The 25138-nt window shown below is 40.6% G+C and overlaps 1 protein-coding gene and 1 pseudogene across 1 annotated transcript in view; one reads left to right on the top strand and one right to left on the bottom strand.

The window, feature by feature from the left end:
• Nucleotides 1-3583, bottom strand: part of IL31RA (interleukin 31 receptor A) — an 83062-nt gene extending 79479 nt beyond the window's left edge. The window contains exon 1 of the mRNA XM_011543142.3: nt 2951-3583. The gene's annotated coding sequence lies outside the window, so the exon portion shown is untranslated. The remainder of the gene's footprint in view (nt 1-2950) is intronic.
• On the top strand, nt 3280-4820 carry HNRNPH1P3 (heterogeneous nuclear ribonucleoprotein H1 pseudogene 3; annotated as a pseudogene).

Genomic DNA, 25138 nt, shown 5'->3' with positions numbered 1-25138 from the left:
ACTACTTCCTCCTAAAGTACTCCAGAAAAATATGACATTTCTTTTTCTGGAAATCATTAGAAAACGTTGTTCACTTCCTGCAGAATCAAGCAATGTTTCCTGAAATCCCAATTTTCTTTCCACCATGATTTCTGGGACCACAGGAAACACTGTGACAAGATTGCAAAAGAAAGAAATGCTCCCTCTCCTTTTTCAAACCTAATTTGGTACTGATAATGTAATTTGGAAATCCTAACTGCATCGACCATGGCTAAGATAAACATGTAAAGTGGATCCCCATGTGTGGGCACATGCATGCAAAAGGGAAGATTAACCTGAACAGAAGGGGTGGTGGGGACAACTTGAGAATGCAGGGCCTAAAGAATTTGGGCAGCAGAAGTATGCTGATGAGGGCTAACATAGGTTGTGGCAGCAGGAAAGACGGGGCAGAGCTGAGCATGTAACAGAGAACACAACAGAGTACAATCCCAGACGAAACTGGCTGGAATGGACAATTAACACAATTGAATCAAGTAACACTAAGGCTGGAAGGGAAGAAATTCAATCCATGAAGCCCAGACTTTCAACGCAATTCCACAAACATAACTCAAAGTTGGATCCTGTGCTTGACACTGCGGAAGCAAAACTGAGTAAAGAACAGGCCCCACCCAGGAAAAGTCCACAACTTAAGTGGGAAAATGGACACGTAAACAAAGTGCTATAAATGAAAATGGCAAGTGTTGTCAGAGGTGTGTATAAAATGCTATGGGAAATGGGAAAGGCAAGTCATTAATTCCGCCCTAAGGGATGTGAGTCCCTGAAAGTTATTTAGAGAAAGGGACATTTCAGCAGAACATGTTAATTGAAAGTAAGTGTTCAAAATGATAAAGTGACAAGTATTCCTGGTAGAGGTGTGGAACAACTAGGCATTTACTGGCACCTGCAATGGGGCCTCAAAGCCATGCTGGTAGCCTTTGACTATACCTCTCATATACTCCCATACACCTCCCATAGTGGGTCCAATAGTGGCCCACAGAAGATATGTCTACCTGGTACCCTAATATGACCTTACTTGGAATTGAGTCTTTGCTGATATAATTAAGGTAAAGATCTCGAAATGTGATCATCCTGGATTAGGGTGGCCCTTAATCTAATAATCAGTGCCCTTGTAAGAAACAGAAGAGACAGACACAGAGGGACACAAGGAAAAACCACGTGACTAAGTAGAGATTGGCATGATGTGTCTACAAATCAAGAAGCACCAAGGATTGCTGGAGCCACAACAAGCTAGGAGAAGGAGAGGCATGAAATAAGACCAGGGGCAGTGGCTCATGCCTGTAATCCCAGCATTTTAGGAGGCTGATGTGGGAGGATTGCTTGAGGCCAGGAGTTCAACACCAGCTTGGGCAACATAGCAAGACCATCTCTTAAAAAAATTTTTTTTTTTTTTTTAAAGAAAAACATGGAACAGATTCTCCCTCAGAGACTCCAGAAGGAACACTGCTGACATCTTGATTTTGGACTTTTGGTCTCCAGAACTGTGAGAGAATACATTTCTGTGGTTTTTTAGCCACCAAGTTTGTGGTAATTTGCTACAACATCCCTAGGAAATGAAGAACACACCCTTTCATCGAGATAGGATCCCAGGTTACATGTGGTTCATAGACCTGGCTAACTCACCGGATCCTCTCACATGGGAATGTGAAACAAAGTCAGCTGAGTGGAGCTATCAGGTGATGGGTTCTGGCAGCCCTGTTTTAGACATGCGAGAAAAGAAAGATGGCTAAGGAGAGAGTGAATAAAAGCAAAGAGAGAAGCAAGGGTGAGAGTCCATGTGATGACTGACAGTTCAGTACAAGTGCTCATGTGGAACACAAGAGACCCTGTTGTATTAAGTCCCTGCCTGTGGATGCCCATGACATTGCCTATTATATCAATGCAATAAACTGCTGCTTATTAAAGTAGATTGAACATGTTTTTGTTCCTTGCAACCAAATGATCCCTGATGTAACCATGATGCTAAGAAGTAACTTAGTTTTAAGAAAACATGAGGAGATGAAAATAAAATGGAAATTGCTAAACAAATGAATAAATTCAAAGTGTAAATTGATTGAGAAAGAAAAGGTAACAAGTGGAAAATTTTAGCAATAAAAGGTCTCTGAATAGAAAAGCAAACAAGTTTTATTTTATAATATAGCACATTGATTGTTTCAGGCCCCAGATTAGATATTCAAATCAGGAGAGAGAATGATAAAGACAGAGTGTCAAATGGTCCAGAGACAGAAATAAGCACAGTTCTACTGACAACCATTTACATCCCCCCATGGAGTAGGTCTTGTGGTCCCTCTGCCTTGGATCAGATCTCAATATCTTAATCCCAGGTTAATTACTTGATTCCTTCAGTCTCTAAAGATGTAGAGAAACATAGGATCTACTATGTGCCAAGGATGGTGGCAGGCCCTGAGATACAAAGATGAAGATCGCAGCCATTATCAGTCAGTGGGCTCATCAAGGAAAGATGTAGAAATGGGCCATCATTACAGCAATGAGAAAAATACAGGCATAAGAAAAACACAGGAATATTCAGGGCAAGCATTTAATTTTGCCTGCAAAGTTCAGAGACAGCTGCCCAAAGGAATACACATTTGAGCTGAATCCTAAAGAAATGAATAGACAGATGTACACCAGCAGAATAAGACAGCAAAGGGCAGTCTAAACACAGAGAACATACAAAGCTTAGAAGGTGGAGAGAATGAAATTTACTATTCCAAGAACAGCAGGTCCTTCAAAATGCCTACTACATCCCAACCCATGAAGGCAGGACATTTTTTTCTGTTCTATTTGCTATTAAATTTCCAAGTCAATCATCAGAATGTAAGTTCCACAAAGGCAGCGATTTTGTCTTTTTTAGTCCTTGTGAAATCCATGGAGCTTAATCCAATGTTCAATTTCCAAACCTTACGTTACTAACCTCATCTTAGCAGCACTTGATACAACTGATTCCTCTCCCCTTGATACTCCATCTTCTCTTGGCTTCCAGGCAGTAGTGTGCTGGTAAATGTTTAACAACAGGTTCTCCAGAAAAATTTTCAAAAGTTCCAATTTGTTGCCTTTGCTGATTTCTGTGATGTAAGTACTTCCACTATGGCCAATTTCAGTCTACCAGCGTGACTGCTGAGTTAGAAAGAGATGAACAGTAGTACACTCCATTATGTAGTATTTCCACCACACAGATGCAACAGCCATAATCTCAGGAGCATAGATACTAGTAAAGTCTACCAAAATAATTAAGAAGTGGGCCATTTCTTTTTAGCCCTGCCGAAGTCAGGTGTCTGGTCTGTTTTGACACCAGACCAGGTAAGAGACAATGATGTTGGGCACCAAAGGTGGCGAGGGGTTTATGTTGAAGGTCCACGGCTTGCCCTGGTCTTGCTTGGCCGATGAAGTGCAGCGTTTCTTCTGACTGCAAAATTCAAAATAAGGCTCAAGGTATTCGTTTCATCTACAACAGAGAAGGCAGGCTGGGTGACAAGGCTTTTGTTGAACTTGAATCAGAAAATGAAGTCAAATTGGCCCTGAAAAAGGACAGAGAAACTATGGGACACAGTTTTGTTGAAGCATTCAAGTCAAACAACGTTGAAATGGATTGGGTGTTGAAGCATACCGGTCGAAATAGTCCTGACACGGCCAATGATGGCTTTGTACAGCTTAGAGGACTTCCCTTTGAATGCAGCAAGGAAGAAATTGTTCAGTTCTTCTCAGGGTTGGAAATCGTGCCAAATCGGATAACATTGCCAGTGGACTCCAGGGGAGGAGTATAGGGGAGGTCTTCGTGCAGTTTGCTTCGCAGAAAATAACCGAAAAGGCTCTAAAGAAACACAAGGAAAGAATAGGGCACAGGTATATTGAAATCTTTAAAAGCAGCAGGGCTGAAGTTGGAACTCACTACAATCCACCATAAAAGCTTATGGCCATGCGGCGGCCAGGTCCCATGACAGACCTGGTTCTGGCAGAGGTTTTAACAGCATTGGCAGAGGAGCTGGCTTTCAGAGGATGAGGCATGGTGCTTATGGTGGAGGATATGGAGCCTGTGACAATTATAATGGCTATGGCTATGGATTTGGGTCAGATAGATTTGGAAGAGACCTCAATTATTGTTTTTCAGGAATGTCTGATCACAAATATGGGGATGGTGGCTCTACCTTCCAGAGCACAACAGGACACTGTATATACGTGTGGATTACCTTACAGAGCTACTGAGAATGACATTTGTAATTTTTTTGACTGCTCAATGCTGTGAGGGTACACATTGAAATTGGTCCTGATGGCAGAGTAACTGGTGAAGCAGATGTTGAGTTTGCAACTCATGAAGATGCTGTGGCAGCTATGTCAAAAGACAAAGCAAATATGCAACACAGCTATGTAGAACCCTTCTTGAATTGTGCAGCAGGAGCCAGCGGTACTGCTTACGGTAGCCAAATGATGGGGGGCATGGGCTTGTCAATCCAGTCCAGTTATGGTGGCCCAGCCAGCCCGCAGCTGAGTGGTGGTTATGGAGGTGGCTATGGTGGCCACAGCAGCATGAGTGGATTTGACCAAGTTTTACAGGAAAACTCATGTGATTTTCAATCAGACATTGCATAGGTAGCCAAGGAGCAATGAACAGCAGCTACTACAGTAATGGAAGCTGTGCATCTATAGGTGTGAATGGAATGGGAGGGATGTCTACCATGTCCAGTATGAGTGGTGGATGGGGAATATAATTGATCACTGACCCTTGCTCAATTTTTTTTTTAAGAAAAACCCAAAACTTCAGTTTAACAGTTTCTGCAATACAAACTTATGATTTATGCTTACTCTCTAAGTAGAAATCAGGATTGTTATGAAGACTTAAGGCTCAGTATTTTTTAACACAATACTCATCTAGGATGTAACACTGAAGTTGAGTAAACTATAACTGTTAAACAAGTTCCAGCTTTGCTCAAGTTAGTTATATTATAGGATGTTCTTAAGCAGTAAGTGTATTGAGGTAAAAGGAGTTGAATTATGTTCACTGTTGCCCTTTGCTACATTACATTGAACACTGTGTAGATGCATGCTGAAAGACATGGGTTTTTTTGTTGTAAAACTCAATATAGGAGCTGTGTCTGTCTACAATTAAAGTGAAACATTTTGGCTTCTTTGTTAATTCTAGTTTTATTTAATAACCTGTAAGGCACATAAGTTTAAGTTTTGTTTTTTTTTAAGTTAATGGGAAAAATTTGAGATGCAATACCAATACTTTAGGATTTTGGTCTTGATGTTTGTATGAGATTCTGAGGCCTTGATTTAAGTCTTCCATTGTACTGTGATTTCCTTTTACGTATATTGAGCTAAGTAAAACTTGTCAAATAAATCCTCATTTTTAAAAAAAAAATAAGAAGAAATGAGTTTTGAGTACTACTTTTTAAAAGTACAATTTATTTAAATTATATAATTTTTACTAATGACCATACTTCAACCTGTTTACTAAATTCCAGAAAATTTACCAATCAGCCCTCGTGAACTGACAGAAGCTGGTTCCAGGATACCATGGCTTCTGGAGCACCACACTCTCCTGGCTCTCCTCCTGCCTCACCGGTCTTTTTTCAGTCCCTTTACCTAGGCCTCCTGTTCTCCCTGACCTCTCTATTGTAGAGTGCCCCAAGGCTTAGACAGAAGGAATGGAGGGAGAAGGAAAGATGGAAGAGAGAGAGGAAAAAAAGAGAAAATCTACAAATGACTTATTTTTACTTTTAGCATATTTGTATTTTATGACATTTTGAAAAATACAACTTTACTGTTTAATTATAAATTACATAATCTTTGTAGTGATATGGCATCTAGAGCTGTGCTGTCCAATGCAGTAGCACTAGCTACAGGTGACTACTGAGCAACTGAAGTGTGACAATTCCAATCTGAGATGTGGTGCTGGAAATCCAATACATACAAGGTTTTGAAGGTGAATACAAAAAAAGAATGTAAAATTCTCATTAAAAATAATTATATTGATCATAATTTAAAAACACTTTGGGTTAAATGATATATATTATTATAGTTAATTTTATCTTTTTTACTTTTTAAAATGAGGTTCACATTGTGATTTTTTTTTTTTTTTTAATATGGAGTCTTGCTCTGTCACCCTAGCTGGAGTGCAGTGGTGTGATCTTGGCTCACCGCAACCTCCGCCTCCCAAGCGATTCTCCTGCCTCAGCATCCCGAGTAGCTGGGATTACAGCTACCCGACAACACCCCTGGCTGATTTTTGTATTTTTAGCAGAGAAAGGGTTTCACCATGTTGGCCAGACTGGTCTTGAACTCCTGACCTCACATGATCCACCAGCCTCAGCCTCCCAAAGTGCTGGGATTACAGGCTTGAGCCACCACTCCCGGCCTCACATTGTATTTCTATTGGACAGTGCTGCTCGAGATCTTTACTCCAGACTTGCCTCTACCTCTCTCCTCCTCTACTCCGCCTCTGAAAATCTTCAGCTGCACTATACTACTTTTTGGTGTTAAGTCAAAGACTATTTTCCTGGCCCAGCTCAAATGGAGGTTGCAAATATGTTACTGTTTCTTTAAACTTCTGACTCCCTCCTTCTTCCTTCAATTTAATAATTATTAAATTATTGTAATTAATAATTATAGCAGGAACTAATTACACAGCAATCTGCCAGTTAATAATTATAGCTCTATGAAAACAATAAGAATCACTGGCAGCCTTTCCATCCAGGTTCCTTATCTGAACCACAAAACACAGAAAAGAATTTAAGTGACTCTTATTTTACCAAGAATGGAACATAATTAGTACCAATCTAAATGTACAGAAGAGAAGTTAATTCCTATCACATACAATATGTACTATATACAATGGATACCTTTAGGGAATCAGGCTTAATTCTTGCACAGAGCCCTGGCTGAGAAAGGCCAGTTGACGTGGATATCCAAAAGGGCAGATGGAATTACTGAGTGTTGAGCAACTGCAATATCCTTGAAATACATTTGTGGTCTTATAAGCAGACACCCTGATGGATAACACTCTTTCAGATTACTAAATTCTGGTTTGTTTTCAAAAAATAAATCTCTAGACTGTATAGTTATGCCTTCTGCAGTGCTCACCTCCAACTCTATACCTTCAGGAAGAAACAATCCCATTCCCAGGGCTTGGGAGCTTAATAGGCTAATCACGGAATATGGTTGTGGTTACACTAACTCAGCAGGGAAAGCTGCAGTAAAATGCCCAAACCTCTGTGCCCACTGTCCCTAAGAACAGTGATGTGAATAAGAAACTTTCAAATGCAGTTTCTGAAGTCTCCTTTTCTGAAATATAATAGAATCACATAACAACTTTCCGAGGAAATACTCACCTGTGGACTCCACTACATATTCATGCCAAGCACTAAAGCAGTACCATGCTTTCTGGAAACTCTACCAGCCTTTCAATCATTCACCTCATTAATCTTCAAAAATATTTCTTTAAGACCATGAAGGGAAAGTATTATTTGCATTTTCATCACATAATTAAGCATAGCTCACAGTTTTTCCACATCATTATAATTAAAAAAGAAACCATGAAGAACCCATAGACACAGTTAGCAGTTGTTCATTTCTTCCTTCATTGTTTTATTATCAGCTGAAAACCAGTCAGTTTGCTACAGAACTTTGCTATTCAAACTGTGGCCATGATCAGTCACATGGGCATTAACTGGAAACTTGTGTAGAAATGCAGATTCTGGCCAGACGTGGTGGCTCATGCCTGTAATCCCAGCACTTTGGGAGGCTGAGGTGAGAGTATTGCTTAGTGCCAAGAGTTTCAGATCACCCTGGCAGCATGGTGAGACCCCCATCTCTACAAAAAAAATAAAATAAAAATAAAAATAAAATAAAAAATTGGGTCAAGTGCAGTGGTTCATGCCTATAATCGCAGAACTTTGGGAGGCCGAGGCAGGCAGATCAGTTGAAGTCAGGAGTTTGAGACCAGCCTGGTAAACATGATGAAACCCCGTCTTTACTAAAAATACAAAAATTAGCTGAGCATGGTGGTGCATGCCTGTAATCTCAGCTACTCAGGAGGCTGAGGCACAAGAATTGCTTGAACCTGGGAGGTGGAGGTTGCAGTGAGCGGAGATCATACCACTGCACTCCAGTCTGGGTGACAGAGTGAGACTCTGTCTCAAAAAAAAAAAAAGTTAGCTGGTACTGGTGACATGCATCTATAGTCCCAGCTACTCAGGAGGCTGAGGAGGAAGGATCACTTGAGACCAGGGGTTTGAGGCTATGATTGTGCCCCTGCACTCCAGTCTGGGCAACAGTGTGAGACCCTGTCTCTAAAAGAAGAATAAACAAAAAAGAAATGCAGATCCCCAGGCTTTGTTGGACCTGCAACTCAATTCAGAGTTCTCCCTCTGCCCAAGCCTGCTCCTGCCCCTTCCCATTCACAGGCATTGATAAACACCCTATGTCCCAAAAGCCCCAAAGTAAAGCAAGCACAGGAAATTTCCACAATACAAGAGGAAGTTGGCCATGCAGCTTGGCTTTTGGCAATATATTAGGCCATGAATATTTATTGAATGAAGGTATAGACAGACCAATCACTGTCTCTTGCAAATCTCACAGCAATCTTTCATATCCAAATTTATGTCTCTTCTAGAGCCATGTTTTTCAACATAAAAAGTTCACTTTTTTTTTTTTTTTTTTTTTTAGACGGAGCTTCGCTCTTGTTGCCCAGGCTGGAGTGCAATGGCATGATCTCAGCCCACTGCAACCTCCACCTTCATGGTCAAGTGATCCTCCTGCTTCGGCCTCCTGAGTAGCTGGGATTATAGGCATGTGCCACCATACCCGGCTAATTTTGTATTTTTAGTAGAGATGGGGTTTCTCCATGTTGCATCCCCCCACCTCGGCCTCCCAAAGTGCTACGATTATAAGCGTGAGCCACCGTGCCTGGCCCACTCTTCTTATCAACATAAAAATCTGACTCACTCCTACTCTCAGAGATAGCACATAGTCGGTGACTTTCTCTACTTGAAAATCTCTGACTTATTGAAGATAGAGTCAGTTCTCTTTGTATCCCATGAGACCAAGAAGATTTAGTCTAACATGACTCTATAATTTTTATTGGGAATGTAATAGGCTTTTTTGGTTTTGATTTTAAATAAAGAAATCTCTATTTTCGGTGAGTCACATTCAACCTTCTGTCTCTTACTTGTTAATCTTTTATAGACAAGATGCGCAAGCTGCACAATTGGGTCACTCAGGGCCTTACAGTGAGAAGGTCCCTGAATTTGGTTTAATGCCTTGCTATTGCTGTCTTGAAATTCTTAAGTTTCTGAGCCCAAGCCCCATATTTTCATTTTGCACTAAGCTCCACAACGTATATACGTATATAGCCAGTCCTGTCCACAGGTCTGGGTTTTTGTTTTGTTTTGTTTTGTTTTGTTTTTTTGAGATGGAGTCTCACTGTCACCCAGGCTGGAGTGCAGTAGCCCGATCTGGGCTCACTGCAAGCTCCGCCTCCTGGGTTCACACCATTCTCCTGCCTCAGCCTCCCTACAGGCACCTGCCACCACGCCCGGCTAATTTTTTTGTATTTTTAGTAGAGATGGGGTTTCACCGTGTTAGCCAGCATGAGTCTCGATCTCCTGACCTCGTGATCTGCCCGCCTCAGCCTCCCAAAGTGCTGGGATTACAGGCATGAGCCACCGTGCCCGGCCAGGTCTGGTTCTTAATGAGGGGTGCTAATCAGAATCATCTAATTCCTTTCCCAAATACACATGGCAACCATAACTAAAATTCATCATTGCAGTTTGCATTACTTTGTCTCTACTGTCACACACATTTTCTGTGATTCCTAGGCTTTCTTCTCTGGTCACATCCTATCTCTCCCATGGCTTTCTTTCCTGGCACAAAGGATGGAAGTTGAGCCCACAGCAGTGAGTGGAATGTAGCATAAGTACCAAGGGGATCCTGGCACAACCAGCCAGCTACCACTTATTGGGCACCCACATATTAACATGCTAGTGCCACACAGTCCCTTCTCATGAAAGGCTCACAGTCTCAGCAGAATGTGAAACATACTTACCATCAAATCAAAGTGAGCCAGTAGGGAAGCCTTCCTAGAGTGATGGGTCTCAAACAGAATTTCAGAAGAGGAAAAACATGTAGCTCAACAGAGTGAGAGCATTCTGAGTAAAGGACTGACAGGTGCTACATCCCAGAGCACAGTGGAGAAGGAGTGTTTGAGGAGCAGAGGAGTGTTTTTGCCAAGCCAGAGCAGTAAGCTTATTGTGAGCTATGTTGGAAAGGCCCTCCCATAGCTCATGTGCTGGATAACTGGGTCTCATAAATTAGATGAAAATTAAGAACCATTGTGAACCTCAAAGAAAGGAACAACAGCATCAAAATGCTATTTGGGAAGGATAATTCACTGGGAATAGCCATTTTCCAAATGGTACCCTAGAAGAAGAACTCACCATTCTCTTTCTCTTTCTTCAAATAGTTCTTGAAATTCATCTTCTTGTGACACTCCCTCACTTAATGAACATGGAATGAATCATTGCTTTCTTATATTTTTCATAGACATCATCAATTTCCTTTAACGTTTGCGGAGCCAGGATCCGCGACCGTCCAAGCTACTGATCGCCGTCCTGATCCATTGGTTGGGAAAGAGATTGGAAACATCACCACAAAACATGCTGCAAACCCCGACTCGGACTCCGCTGGGGCTGAACCAATGCCCCCACACAGCCCCGACTCCCTCCCCAGCAACCGGCCGCCCCTCTCGCGACCAGCCATTTTCCAGGCCTGTGTTAGTCCATTCTTGCATTACGATAAAGAAATGCCCGAGGCTGGGTAAAGAAAAGAGGTTTGATTGGCTCATAGTTCTGCAGGCTGTACAGGAAGTATAGCAGCATCTGCTTCTGGGTGGGCCTCAGGAGGCTTCCAATCATGGCAGAAGACAAAGGGAAAGCAGGCACATCACATGGTGAAAGGAGGAGCAAGAGAGAGGGATAGTGAGGGGGAGGTGCCACACAAGCAACTAGGTCTCATGAGAACTCACTATTAGGAAGACAGCACAAAGCCATGATGGATCCACCCCCATGACCCAAACACCTCCCACCAGGCCCCACCTCTGCCTCCAACACTGGGGATTAAATTTCAAAATGAGATTTGGGCAGGGACAAATATCCAAACTATATCACCACATGAGAATCAAAGCATCCGTTTCCCTGAACAACACAGAGCACAGAAGCCACCTACCTACCTTCTCAGGAGAGGATGACAGAATCAAAGCCAAGGTTTACAAAAATCAAAACCCCTACCAGAAAGGGGTTTTGTCCCTGAGACTAACCACTGCCTCTGACACAGATCTGCCCCAAAGCTGGGACAAGGGATACATCACTGTTAGTCTGTTTTCACATTGCTATAGATACAACCTGAGAGTGGGTAATTTATAAAGAAAATAATTTAATTGATTCACAGTTCCACATGGCTGGGGAGGCCTCAGGAAACTTATAATCATGGTGGAAGGTGAAGGGGAAGCAAAGGCACACGTTACATGGCGGCATTAGCGAGCGTGCTAGAGGGAGGCGGGGAAGTGCCTCACTTTAAAACCATCAGCTGTCATGAGAACTCACTCACTATCACAAGAACAGCAGAGGAGAAATCTGCCCCCGTGATCCAATCATCTCCCACCAGGCCCCTCCTCTGACATGTGGGGATTACAATTCGAGATGAGATTTGGGTGGGGACACAGAGCCAAACCATATCAATCCCACACTGGTAACTGCAATCTTTTCCTTCATTCCTTGGAAGTCTGCAGGATATGTAAGGTGAAAGGGAAGAGTGAGTTAATCTGTTACAAAGTAAAGCCTGTCATAAGGTGGAATATGAGAGCTGATTTAAAACATACATGTACTCTGTATTTATCCTAAGGGTCCAAAGGAGCAGATAAAAATAAATCAAGGTCTAGGGCTACGTGGTATGGAACCACCAGATCCAAACACAACCTGCACTATTATTGGGGTGCTTATTATAATGCATGAATGGAAATCAGTCTTGGCCAAGTAGAGCTAAAGCCAGAGAGCACAGGACTCATATTGCAATTTGTCAAAGAATTTTGAAAAAATCAAAAGACAGTTGACACAGATGGCCATTACATCTTGCTATATGGATAAACTAAAAAACCAAAAGATATGTATGCACACAGAAGGTATCCTGAAGACACTAAGAATATAAACATCCCATTAACCAAGTTGGGATGAAGCTTTCTTTCTTGGAAGATTATGTGTACTCTTCATTTTGTTATCATTGTGTGTGTGTGTATTGTTGTTGTTGTTGCTGCTGTTGTTTTGTGAGAACAATTCTGTAAGATTCTACATTAACTACAACAAGGACGTTTTGTGTTCTGCTTTTGTAATATAGATTTTACGTTGAAGATTACTTATAGTTATATTTGTGGAAAATGTCTTGCTTATTCTAGGTCATAGAACGCTGAGTTCAGACTTTGGCTTAGAATGTAGAAAACTGCAAGAGAATGTATGTCACTTCTACACTAACAACAAAAGCCAGATTACGTACACATATAGTTTGGTGGCCTGTGTTCCTCTTAGTAGTCATGCTCCAAAGAGGGTGACTACAGGGTACATTGAGGGTGGCCAGGTCTTGGGAACAGGAGCTCTCAGCCTTGACAAAGACTCCCTGCCCCAGGATGGCACAGCAGCAGCAAGGCTACTGGCCCCGAAAGCACTGCCTATGGAGCTGAGAGCACCACAACTAACTTGGAAGTAAGCAGTGTGGACAGGCAATTGATAACTGAAGAGTTTCCCGAGGGCTTTGGTGGTGCTCATGACCCTGGAACCTCAGCACAAGCATGAGTGTGTGTGACAAGGTGAGGGGTTCCCCGCTAATGACTGAGATAAAACTTCCAGCTATTCCAGTAGGATGGGGACTGTCAGATTCAAGTTGAATTTTTAACGCTGTGACATTATTACATTCAAGACATGTGGAATAGAATTCAAACCCATACCCTTGTTCTAAATGGTATATCATTCATGCAATAATTTGCATTCTGTGGTAGACAGCTTCTAAAATGTCTCCCAATTCACACTCTTATATAATGTTCTCTTGAGTGTAGGTTGAAACTAGTGAGTGAGTCATTTCTAACAAACAGAGTACAGTAAAAGTAACGGAATGTCACTTCTGAGATCAGGTTAGGAGACTGGAACTTCTGTCTTTCTCACACTCCCTCCAGCCCTCTCACTCGCCTGCTCTGATGAAGTCAGCTACCTTGCTGTAAACTGCACTAGGGAGAGGCACTTATCGTAAGGAACTCAGGGCAGCCCTTGGTCAACAGCTCATAAGAAACTGAGACCTTTAGTCCAACAACCCAAAGGAACTGAACCTTGCTAACAACCCCAAGTGAGCTTGGAAGCAGATCATTTCCCAGTTAATCCCTGAGATGGGTGCATCCTAGCCAACACCTTGATTGTATCCTGTGAGAGACCTAGAACCAGAGTACCCAGCTAAGCCATGCCCAGGCTCCTAATGCACAGAAAGAGTGAGATAATACATGTAGTTTTTCTGCCACTTAGCTTTGGGGTAACTTATTATGCAGCGATGGGTAACTAAAACAAATTTCAAGAAGGCAGAAAATGAACAGAAGGTGTTACTATACATCTACCTAAACATGCTGTCTATATCTAAAGTCTAGCCAGTGGTTCTTGAGCGGGGTGCACATCAGAATAACCCAAGGCTAAGGAGAGTGTTAGAAGAGAGAATATATGGAAAAGGTAAAGAAGGGTCACACAAAAGAAGGAAGGTAGAGTCCATTTCAGGGAGTCCAGTGCCTAAGCCTCTTGTTCAGTCATTGGCAGAGAGGGCTGTCAGGACCACTATCCCAAAATTTGGTCTCCAAATCTTTTTTCTATAAAAGGGCTTTTGCTTGCCACATTTTTTATGTGGTCCCTGAGGATCCTTTGGTTTCCTCCTCCTATCTACCATTTGAATTTAGTTCCCAAATTGCATTAAAGACAAATAACAGTGCAGATGTTCACCACTGGAATGTCATCAGAATCTTATCCCCAGTCCTTAATCCTAAACAGGTTTAACAGTTGGATTTGGGGAAAATGGTTCCAATTGGGTGCTGAAGCCCACAGAACATTCCACAGTTTAATTCATTTGTTCTGCCCTGGCAGAGCTTAAGACAGTTCACAGCAGTCCCAACAGAGTCAAGTGAGGGGATCCATTGCATGTGTGAAGGGTCTTCCCAACTCCTTCCACTTTAGACCCATCAGCTAGCCAAATGAGTGAAATTTCATTTTTAGTCATGTCACTTATTTCTCAAAATTCTTCAAGCTATTCCCAGAAAGGCTTGGCATGATTTAAGATTCCAAAAATCCCTGGAAAAGGTAAACATCAGTAAGGGAAAAAAAAGGATATATGATCTGATAGGGTTTTTTTAAGACTATGTTGACCTTTACAGAACAAGAGACTTTGGTCAAAGAAAAAACAGAAAAGAAACTGTATTCTTCTCAGCTGGCAGACAAAGAATTTACATAGTCTTGGGAAGCTCACTGGAACATGTTAGGAAGGACTAAAATGGAGATGCCAAAGACAAAACCTGCCAAACTCTAGATGTGATGTAGACACTGTTTATGATGTAAAAGAATACTGTATCTCATCAAACCTAAGACTTTTTGATGCCAGTGTTTTCTTGACTTTACACAAGTGTCAAAAGAAGCTTTTCATAGAACTAGATCATAAACTGTTACCTGACACTACAATTGTAGGACATCAATTGTAAAATGCATCCTGCTTTCAGAGATGTTAAAGTGTGAGAAAATGTGCCTTCTAGAATAGATGAGAGTAGTTTTGGGCCTTGACAATAGAAGTGATTTCCTACTTGAGGAGCCTGGTTCCTGGCAAAAAAAAAAACCTGAGTGATTTTTCAGGCCTGATCATAGGCAATTACAAACACTTTATCTGACAGACCTCACGGGTGAAAGCTGCTCTCTCCACATCAGACTTAGTGGCACTGCCAGTGCACTGCAGTCTCTGGAAGTCATTACAGTCCCCTGGTCCACCATGACCTTACACATGGCTGCATTCCTGGCTCAGCTGCCTCCATTTAGAGGTATCCTTATCGGGAAAACTCGAAGATGATTTGCTCCACCCTGACTCAGTGCTTTTGCACTCCTAGCCCTTCCCTCTGCCTCCTGCTAGGCCCTGGGCCCATAAAACTGCCCAAGCCTTTTGTTTGGAGCTCTCAGACAGTGAGGACAACTCCTCTCTCTGTGCTGGTCTACTTGACTTTCAACTAGTGGGCCATTCCATGGGGGCTGTGAGAGGAATGGAATGGAGCAGGTGCTTTCTCTGGTTTAGACTCTTGTTTATACTATTGCAATAAGTGATGAAAAGCTTGACTGTCACTTTTATTTTGATTGTCCTTTAATCCAGTATTCCAACAACACCTGGCAGTTCAGCACTCTCTCTCCAGTTGAGCCGAGCTCCTGACACTACTCAAGACAAGAGAATGCAGTAAAGCAATCTGAGCACAAAGCATGGAACAGTCAGAGATTCTTATGTTTATTACCCAGGATTTCTATGGTGTTCTTGTTTTCTGTGTACTCAAGCAAATGTTAAGCAACTGCCACTTATCAATCACTGAGTTGGATGTGCTAGATGTGATGACACTCAATAATCAAATGGGAAACAATTCACAGCATTGTAGATACATAGTATTTGGTTGACAAAATATTTGGTTGTTACCATGAGTGAGAAATAAATTCAGGGAAGGGAGGGATCAATGTGAACTACAGTAATCAAGGAAAGCTTTGTGAAAGAAGGTCGACTCGAGTAAAGCATTGAACTAGTAAAATTTGGGTAGTACAAAAGATGTCTGGGCATTAGGGTAGAAGAGTCACATTCTCAAAGAATAGAGTGCTTTCTTCACACAGGATATTTGGCAGGTTAGATTTTCAAAATTAGATGTGCATGCCCCTATAACAATAAAATTGTTTCCTCTGCAGAGTGACATGGAATATGGAATGGGACATAATTATTTTCAGAATCTCAACCCTAATTGTTTTGACTACATTCATGTTTACTTTATAATGCCCAAATGCAAACCAATGGATTACAGAAATGACAGCTTAAAATTTTCCTCCACAATTGGTTAGCTAACCGTTATGTGGCAATTAACATGCAATTTGACTAGAATTGCCAGCCATTGGGCTAGAAAGAGGCATTCTCCAAAAAAAGGTATAGCCATTCTGATCTAAGTATCTGCACTTCGCATGTTTACCAGGAATAAGTTTTTGAAATAAAGGTTTAGCTTTGGAAGTCTGGCTTCCCTCCAGCTATTCAATTAAATTAGCTTATTTATTAAGCACTACTTTCAATTCTATTTTAGACATTTTAAAACTACATTAATATTTTCAATCCACAAACATTTTTTGAGCTTACAGTCTAAACTCAATCTAGACTCTAGAGTTGTAGTGTCAGTGTGGTAGCCACTAGCCACATGTGGCTATTGAGCACTTGAAACATGGCTAATGCAATAAGAAATTGAATTTTAATTTTATTTAATGTTTCTTAGTCTAAATTTAAATTTAAAAATTGAGACTTGATTCAGCTGTTGGAAAACTTTCAAGTATGTTTGGACAACTTGGGTGTGTGAATCTACTCTATAACTACACATTTCATACACTCTAAATAAAGATCAAGTATTTCCAATGATAACTTAGTGTCCAAATTGAGATGTAAGCATAGGCAAAATAAGTACTGGGTTTCAAAGATTTAGTACATAAATGTAAAATACCTCAATAATCATTACATTTGACTACATGTTGAAATGACAGTATTTGGGATATATCGACTACATATATGGCTCACATTATATTTTTACAGGACAGTTCTAGAGTAATGATTTGTCCAAGAAAAGCTTAGACAACACAAGGCCACTTTATTACAAGACATAGGAATTGGAGAAGCTCTACTGCACCTCAACTCATGATCATTTTCTGTTCCCCCTTTACCTTCTTCTTCCTCTCCTTCCTCTAACAATGATGTGTACTGAACTCTTAAGAGCTAGAAAGATTGCTGACCCAAGGTTTAAATGATTTACAGTAATTTCTCTCTCGTTGATAGAGGATTTTAAGACAAAAGAACAGTATAATGACTTGGCAACTCAAATATAGGAGTATATTAGTAGCCCAATGGAAAAAAAGGTGTGAAAGAAACAGCTTTGCTTTTCCCCACGGACTGTCTTAGAAGTCATTTTCTAATAAGTCACTAAAACTACTTAATCACTTTTTTAAACTTTTAAAATCCTAAGTTCTGGATTATTTATGAAAGATGAAATATGATTACTTTATTCCAAATTGCATTTATTTTATAAATATTAGATACTAGATTTAAAAAATCATCATGAATGGAGAACAGCTTTCAGCCAAGCATTCTGTACCATCACAGAATGGATTTCAGTTATCATTATCTATATTTCCATGGTCACTCTCCTTCATGCTGCAGAAAGCAGAGAATGGGAAGGTGTCTTATTTAAGAACTCTTAGCAGCTTACACAGATTCCTTGATACGTGAAGATCAAGAAGTCTTGTCCTGACTCAATTTACTACAGAAATCCATTGACCATCCTGGAGAACAACCCATTTCAACAGTATTGGCAAAAACTGCTAGCTGATTCCCAGCTTTCTGAGCACACAGATAAGGCCACATTTCCCAGTCTCTCTTACAGTTACATGTGACTAAGTTTGTAACAGTGGAATCTGAGATGTATATGCTTATTTCTTTGCCTGACCCATAAAAATGTTCCACAAGTCCACTTTGTCTCTCTCCTCTCCAACTCTTTCCCTTTCTCTGGCTTGATAAAGAGAAGCATAAAGATCTTGGAAGCTGTACCAGACTGCAGAGCCACAGGATGGAAGGAACCTGGATTCTTAAGTAACTACTGGGAAGGACACCTACCTACCAGGAATACCCTTTTTGGACAGTCAGGTAAGCAAAAAACATACTTCTATTTTGTTAAGCCACTGAAGTTTTGGGGTTGTAACAGCAGCAAATGTCACCCTAAAGATATAATGAGCAACCCAAAGGACTGTAATTTAGCCTAAGGATAAACTATTTTCACAACTCTTGGTATCACCACTGAATAGCAAGACAGCACCTCATCCTTTGATCCCAATGATATAGGAGTTCAAAAAAATTATTTAGGCAGACAGTGAGGGTAAGGAAGTCCTTGATCAGGTTTCCCTTTTAATAAAAAGCAGCCTTCAAATCATTTCTTTTCTAACAAAAAACAGCCTGTAAAATTGAGCCGCAGACATAGAGAAGCAAGCTAGAAGCTTGCACGGGTGAAAGCTGGCAGCTGTGACAATAGGAAAAGGCTACCTAGGGGCTAGGCATGTTCAACATGGTGGCTCCAACTTCCCTTTTCTTTGTCAGCCATATGTACAGTAGGGAGCAGACAACATGGCACCAGCCAGGTAGAAAATCTGTTTGCATAATAAAAGATTAGATTGGGGTGGCCAGCTTCTTCAACTGTTATATAAACATCACACCTGGTTCAACCAATCTTTGGGCCCTATGTAAATCAGACACTGCCTCCTCAAGCCAGACTATAAAACCCTGTGCACTTCACCATGGGACCAGAAGACCCACTCTGGCATCCCTCTCTCTCTGCAGGAGAGAGAGTTATTCTCTTTTCTCTTTTGCCTATTAAACTTTCTGCTCCTAAATCCACTCCTTGTATGGCCGCATCTTCGATTTCCTTGGCATGAGACAATGAATCTCAGGCATTACCTCAGACAAACAACACCGCTTCACCACCTTTTCTCCACCCCCTTTTATGTGACTGGACAGACACGTAAACAGGTGAAGAAAGAAGGAAACTGCCAATGAGCATATGAAAAGGTGCCCAATATCACTAATCATCAGGGAAATATAAATTAAAACCACAGTAAATGGCTAGAATTAAAAACAACAGTAACACATACTGATGGTGAGGATGTGGAGCAAACAGAACATTCTTATGATGCTGGTGGCTATAGTAAATGGTACAACCATTCTGGAAAACTCTTTGGCTGTTTCTAATAAAAAGTTATACCCTATGTTCCAGCAATTCCACTTCTGAGTATATGCCCAGAAAAATGAGTCCTTGTGTTGACCAAAAGACTTGTAGTAAAATATTTGTAGGAGCTTTGTTCAAAATCTGAAAACAATCCAAATGCCTGTCAATAGGAGACTACAAAAATAATTTGTAGTTATTCATGATACAATAAAAAGAAACTATTACACAAAACAACATGGATGAATCTCACAGCTATTATGTTGAACAAAAGAAGCCATATACAAAAGAGAGATACTCTATGATTCCATTTATATGACGTTCAATAACAGGCAAACCCAATTTATGGTGATAAAAATCAGAATAGTGCTCTGGGCCAGGGAGTTGACTGTAAAGGGGCAAGAGGAAACTGTTTAGGGTGATAGAAATGTTTCACATCTTGATTTAGGTGATGGTTACAAGGAGCACACATAGGTAAACATTTAAGCTGTAAACTTAAGATTTGTGCATTTTATTGTAGGTAAGTTTTATTTCAAATTAAAAAAATTAACTTCCCCAAGATCACACAATTAGTAATAGGATTCAAACTTTGGTTAATCTGAGTCATTTCACCAGAGTAGGGTTCATTTTCCTAGTGAATTACATACACAGATGAGAAAACTACAGGTTTGTTACTATTTAAATAAGTGATTGGCATTACTCTCAGTACATATTTTATAGTATTCACACTATGATAAACTGAACTTATTTTGGCACGTATACATTCTAAATTCTACTCCAAATGATAGTGTTTTCTTTGTGGCATCATAGCAACAGTAATTCTGTTTATAAAACTGAAGTAAATTATTGGAACCAAACTTTCCACCTATCCAGATGACTGCTAGCCCAATAAAATACCTCAGCTGAAGAACAAACATGTTAAGATGAAATTGCCAGAACTTGTATTGCAACATTTAACTGGCATGAACACATTGGGAAGTATGCTTAGCTGATTGGCATCAGTGGATTATCATGAATAAATCTCCAGTAATGGAACAATCTAAGATTAATGAAACAATTGCTAGAGGAGGTATATAATAAGATGCCAAAATGGTCAATTAACAGGCATCACTCTTGCTGTATGATATCCCAAGGGCAAACTGTATCGTAATAGAGATTCAACCACTAGAGTTGGCAAAGTGATCACTGACTTCTTAAGAATCAACTCTCTAAAATCGACAAAGCAGTTAATGCAATACCAGAATAAGACCTGAGCACTAAAATCCAAGTGCACCAGCATTCAGCTATGATACTGAGCCTTCTTACACAGGGCTGCCTCTTAAAAATACTTTATGTAACTGTATGGACTGTGTGACTTCATCAGATGGAGATGTGGGGAAAAAAATCTAGTTATTATCTTCCTTTTACACATAAGCAAATCAAAGCCTAAAGCAGGTCATTGATAACACTAGGTACTACACAAGTCGGCAAATATAGCCAATGTTAAGGCTACTCCAACTAGTATCAGGCTTACTTTGTTATATAGAAGAAGCTTCTCCTGCTATCCATAATTTTTAAAACTATTTTAAAGTGCTTTGATTTCTGTTGAGAATTCTTCAATCTCCCACACGGTAAGCCTCATTCCAAAACTAAAACCAAGTTAAAATATCCAAGATGGTGGGATAGTAAGTTCCTATGTTCAGAAGGAGAGGGAAAAGATTTTTGATTCTGAAAAAGAATCCCACAGAAATATGAGACTCTAAATCCAGAAAACTCTGATGGAGACAAAAAAATCTTTCAAGAAATCTCCCACAGAAAAGTATCTTCCAGATGAGCTACTTTGATGATTTGATAAACATCCTAAAAATTACAGCAAAACAATGAATCACTTAGGTAAAGATCAAAGAACTGGGACAAATCTCATTTGCTCAGTGTCCAGCATCAGTGTCCCCACACACCAACCCCTGGTCCCCTGTCCCCTCCTGGCATGGAATCCCTCATGGCACCATCTGTCTCTAGAGCAGGGGTCAATGTGCAGTTCTTGGCTCCCTTGGGTGGGTCTGTTAATGGATTTCAAGGAGGTTAAAGGTTAAAGCCCCTGCAATTTTATGTAAAACTTGGTTCTATAATTTATGTGATCCAAAGAGATCAGAACTGCTATTCTAAAGTGAGAGCCCGAGGAAAACCCGCGGGGCCAGCCTAGCTGCGCCGCGCCCCACAGTGCCACTCACCTGGGTGTGGCCAGCCCGGGCTCCCGGGGCAGGAACCGCGGTGACTCTCGGCTCAGTCCCCCGATCCTACCGGGCCAACCTCTCGCTCCGCCCCTGGGAAGCCTCCCGCCGCTGGCTGGGAGAGCGTCAGGACCACCGGGTCAGGGCCGCCCGTGGAAGCCCGCCTCCGCGAGCTCGGGACACGCGGGCGGAAGCAGCTTCGCCGCGGCTCCCCGCACACAGCCACCCACCAGCCCGCCCCGCGAGGCGTTCTCCCGGCCAGGGCCCCGGGACATCGACGACTCCTTTCTGGACTGTTTCACGCTGGAGGTACTAGGATCGCGCTTCGGTGTGGACCGGGGAATCTAAATCCAACAGTGAGCATAAGCACATACTGGCAAGTCGAAGTTTTTAGAAAATGCTTTAGAAAACAAAATACCGCCCTATTTCCAATACGCTAAAAAAATCGATGAAGGCCACACCGAACAAAATGAAAAAATGGCTGCTCCCAAGTTAGGGCACTAATGAGAGAGATCTACGCAAACCAGCACAAGTGTGAAGCTATGGGGAAGGTGCGAGGGGAAAACTGACCACTGCTGCCGTCCTATATAATAAAAATGTTATCAAAGCCAGGCACTGTGGCATGTACCTGTAATCCAGCACTTTGGGAGGCCAGGAGTTCGAGATCAGCCTGGCCAACACAGCAGGACCCTGTCTCTAGTAAATAAATAGGGGAAAATGTTGTAAGTGCAAACAGTGAAATCAGAAAAGACATATCTACTCCACCCCCAAGATCCCAGGGACTGGTGGAACAGGTAGGTTACCCATCCTGTGTGATATCAGGTATCCCCTGATGTTCCTTCCCCACTACATCACCATTATTCCCCAACTCTCACATACGTAGCTGGTGTTTGCGTAGCATATGTTGCTCAAAATGGTGATTCCACATTTTGAGCTTCCTTTTAGCTAAGGCCACAGTCTTTCACTCCTATTAAAATGCAAAGAATTCAAAGAAGAAAAGTTAAGCCTTATCAGTCACATCTCAACCTCTGCCTTGAGAGCAGACCTTGAAATAATTAGAAAAAGGACACTCAATTCTAAGGGCTGAGGGGAAAAGTACAAAAATGGAAGAGCTTGCAGAATCTGATGAAAGTTGATCTTGAGTTGCATTAAATATACCTAACGGACCCTTACAGTGGTTAAACTTACATGACTTTTTGACTTTATGATGGTGTAAAAGCGATATGCATTCAGCAGAAATCGTACTGTGAATTTTGCTCTTTTCCCAGGCTAGCAGTATGTGGTGGATGGAGACTGTGATGATGGGCAGCAGCAGCCAGACACAGCTTTTAGCCAGCCATGAGACCACGAGTGTAAACCACCCAAACGCTAAAGCATTCTGTGTGGATGCCCAAGTGCTTATTCTTGAGCCTCACCAGAAGAGAAATTGATTGCCCTGTCACCGTGGCATCCCTGTCATCCAGCAATTCTAGATGTTTCAAACATTCTTTGGCCCAGTGTGCTTTCAGCTGTGTACGTTAATGGTGAGTGCCCATATACAACCAGTTTTTCACTTTCAGTATTCAATAAATGAGATGAGATATTCAACACATTATGAAATCGGCTTTTTATAGACGAATTTGCCCAACTTTAGGCTAATGTAAGTGTTGTCAGCACGTTTAAGGCAGGTTAGGCTAAGCTATGATGTTCAGCAGGTTTAGGTGTATTTAATGGATTTTTGGCTTACTGATATCTTCAACTTACAGTGGGTTTATCGGGATGTAATTCCATTGTAAATTGAGAAGCATGTGTACCTACAACTTATAAAATGATCAAGGGTTAAGATATCTGACACCAAGCAGCAGAAAAACAAATGATCAACATAAGACATGATTTCTTAGGTTAAATTCCAGGAATTTAAAAAGCACTAGTAAAGCAGAAAATTCACTATTATTAAGCAACATTTAAACATATATAGAGTGAGCAAGCGAGCTCTGGAGAATTAAAAACAATTGCTAATAAAACGGTTGAAAGTAAAAAATATATACTAGAATATAAAAGATGAAAAAAACAGGAAAGATACAATAGAGAATTCAGTTCTGGAATCTAATAGAAGCTCCAAAAATAGAGAACAGAGAAAACTTGGGAAAAAAATTATCAAATACAAAAAACACTCCTAGGGACCAAGAAAAAAAAAAAAAACAATTTTCAAAGCACCCTGAGTATCACACACAAGTCGCATTCATCATAAAAGTGAAGACAACCAATATCTTTTGGGATCTTTTAAGAAAATTAACATCAAACCTGGGAAGGTAATATGAAAAATGCATGATCTGTCTCCTTCAAAACAAAAAAACACTACAAACAGGGTAAACAAATTGCTCAAAAATTGTGTGATCCAAATTCAAAGCAAGCTGGTATGTGGAATGGCTTTGGGCAGTTTTCATTTGACCCTGACACTTCCCATTCTCCCTGCAGACACAAAAGTCATAAAATTAGGAAGATAGTAAAGGTGAGGCAATCAAGACTGTGTGAATTGGCCCATCCAGTGAACAATATTTATATAAACACATGCTTTTGATTTTCAATTCTGGAATCTGTGTATATAAGGGAGACTTTATGGTTATAGAAAATGCAAATGTTAACTTGGGAAATGTAAATGTGCAGTTTACAGATGTTATGACATACAAATAGAGGAAAGGAAAAGGTGCCTTTAAAATCATCTCACAGGTATACTTCTACGGCGAGTCAGAGATGTGAGTTAAATCTTCATATATCAAAGTCAACAGACGTTCTGGTTGGTGACATAAAAATACAGGTTGAGCATCCCTAATCCAAAAATTCAAAATCCCAAATGCTCCTAAACCTGAAACCTTGAGCACCAATGTGATGCCTCAGATTGTCCACATGTGACTAAGATAGTGACACCTTAGTTTTCAGACAGCTCAAGGTACACAAACTTTGTTTCATGCACAAAATTACTTAAAATATCAAAACTTATCTTCAAGTTGTATATGAGGTATAATGAAACAAATGAATTTCATGTTTAGGCTTGGGTCCCATCTCCAAGATCTCTCATTATATATTATGCAAATATTCCAAAATCCAAAAAAAAATCTGATATCTGAAACATTTCTGGTCCCGAGCATTTCAGATAAGGGATACTCAACCTGTATATGATGGCAGTGAACAGAAATTGTTAATAATAGCTGATTGTTGGATGTGGAATGGCAATTTGGAAGGGGAGGGGCAGAAAAATATTGCTTTCTATTATAAATGCTTCTATGGCATTTTCTTTTCTAATTTATGCATGTTACTTTGATAATTTTTAAAGAGATGATTCAAACCTATACCTAGAAATGAGGAGAGTAATTAAACATAGGGACATTTACAGTTCATCTGTAATGGTGGTAGATGTATGATACATTTCCTTTCCTTTTTTATATTTGATTCAGTAATGCTACTATGGTAATCTGACAAATCAAGCAAAAGCTTAAAAGGAATCAGTTCAGAGGGAGCAATCTGTTAAAAAAAAAAAAAGCAATGAAAAAAATGAGACAAGACTGGCCTATACTCTTCCTAAACGAAACTAGAAAATTAAGACATACAGATATTACAAATAACAATCCAAACACCTTCATTCATTTAGCCTTTCCCAGAAGTGAGATAACAGAAGAAAAGTGAAATATGTCCCATATTTTTATTAATTGAACTTCCCTTTTTGAGTTTTTCTTGTTGTCAACATTTTTTCTTTTTATTATTATACTCGAAGTTCTAGAGTACATGTGCACAACATGCAGGTTTGTTACATATGTATACATGTGCCATGCTGGTGCCCTTTTTGAGTTTCTATGTTCTTTGTATTCTTCTA

This window comes from Homo sapiens, chromosome 5 (assembly GCF_000001405.40).
Source record: "Homo sapiens chromosome 5, GRCh38.p14 Primary Assembly".
NCBI lineage: Eukaryota > Metazoa > Chordata > Mammalia > Primates > Hominidae > Homo > Homo sapiens.
The sequence above is the reverse complement of the archived record's forward strand: the minus strand, read 5'-3'. Positions and strand labels throughout refer to the sequence as shown.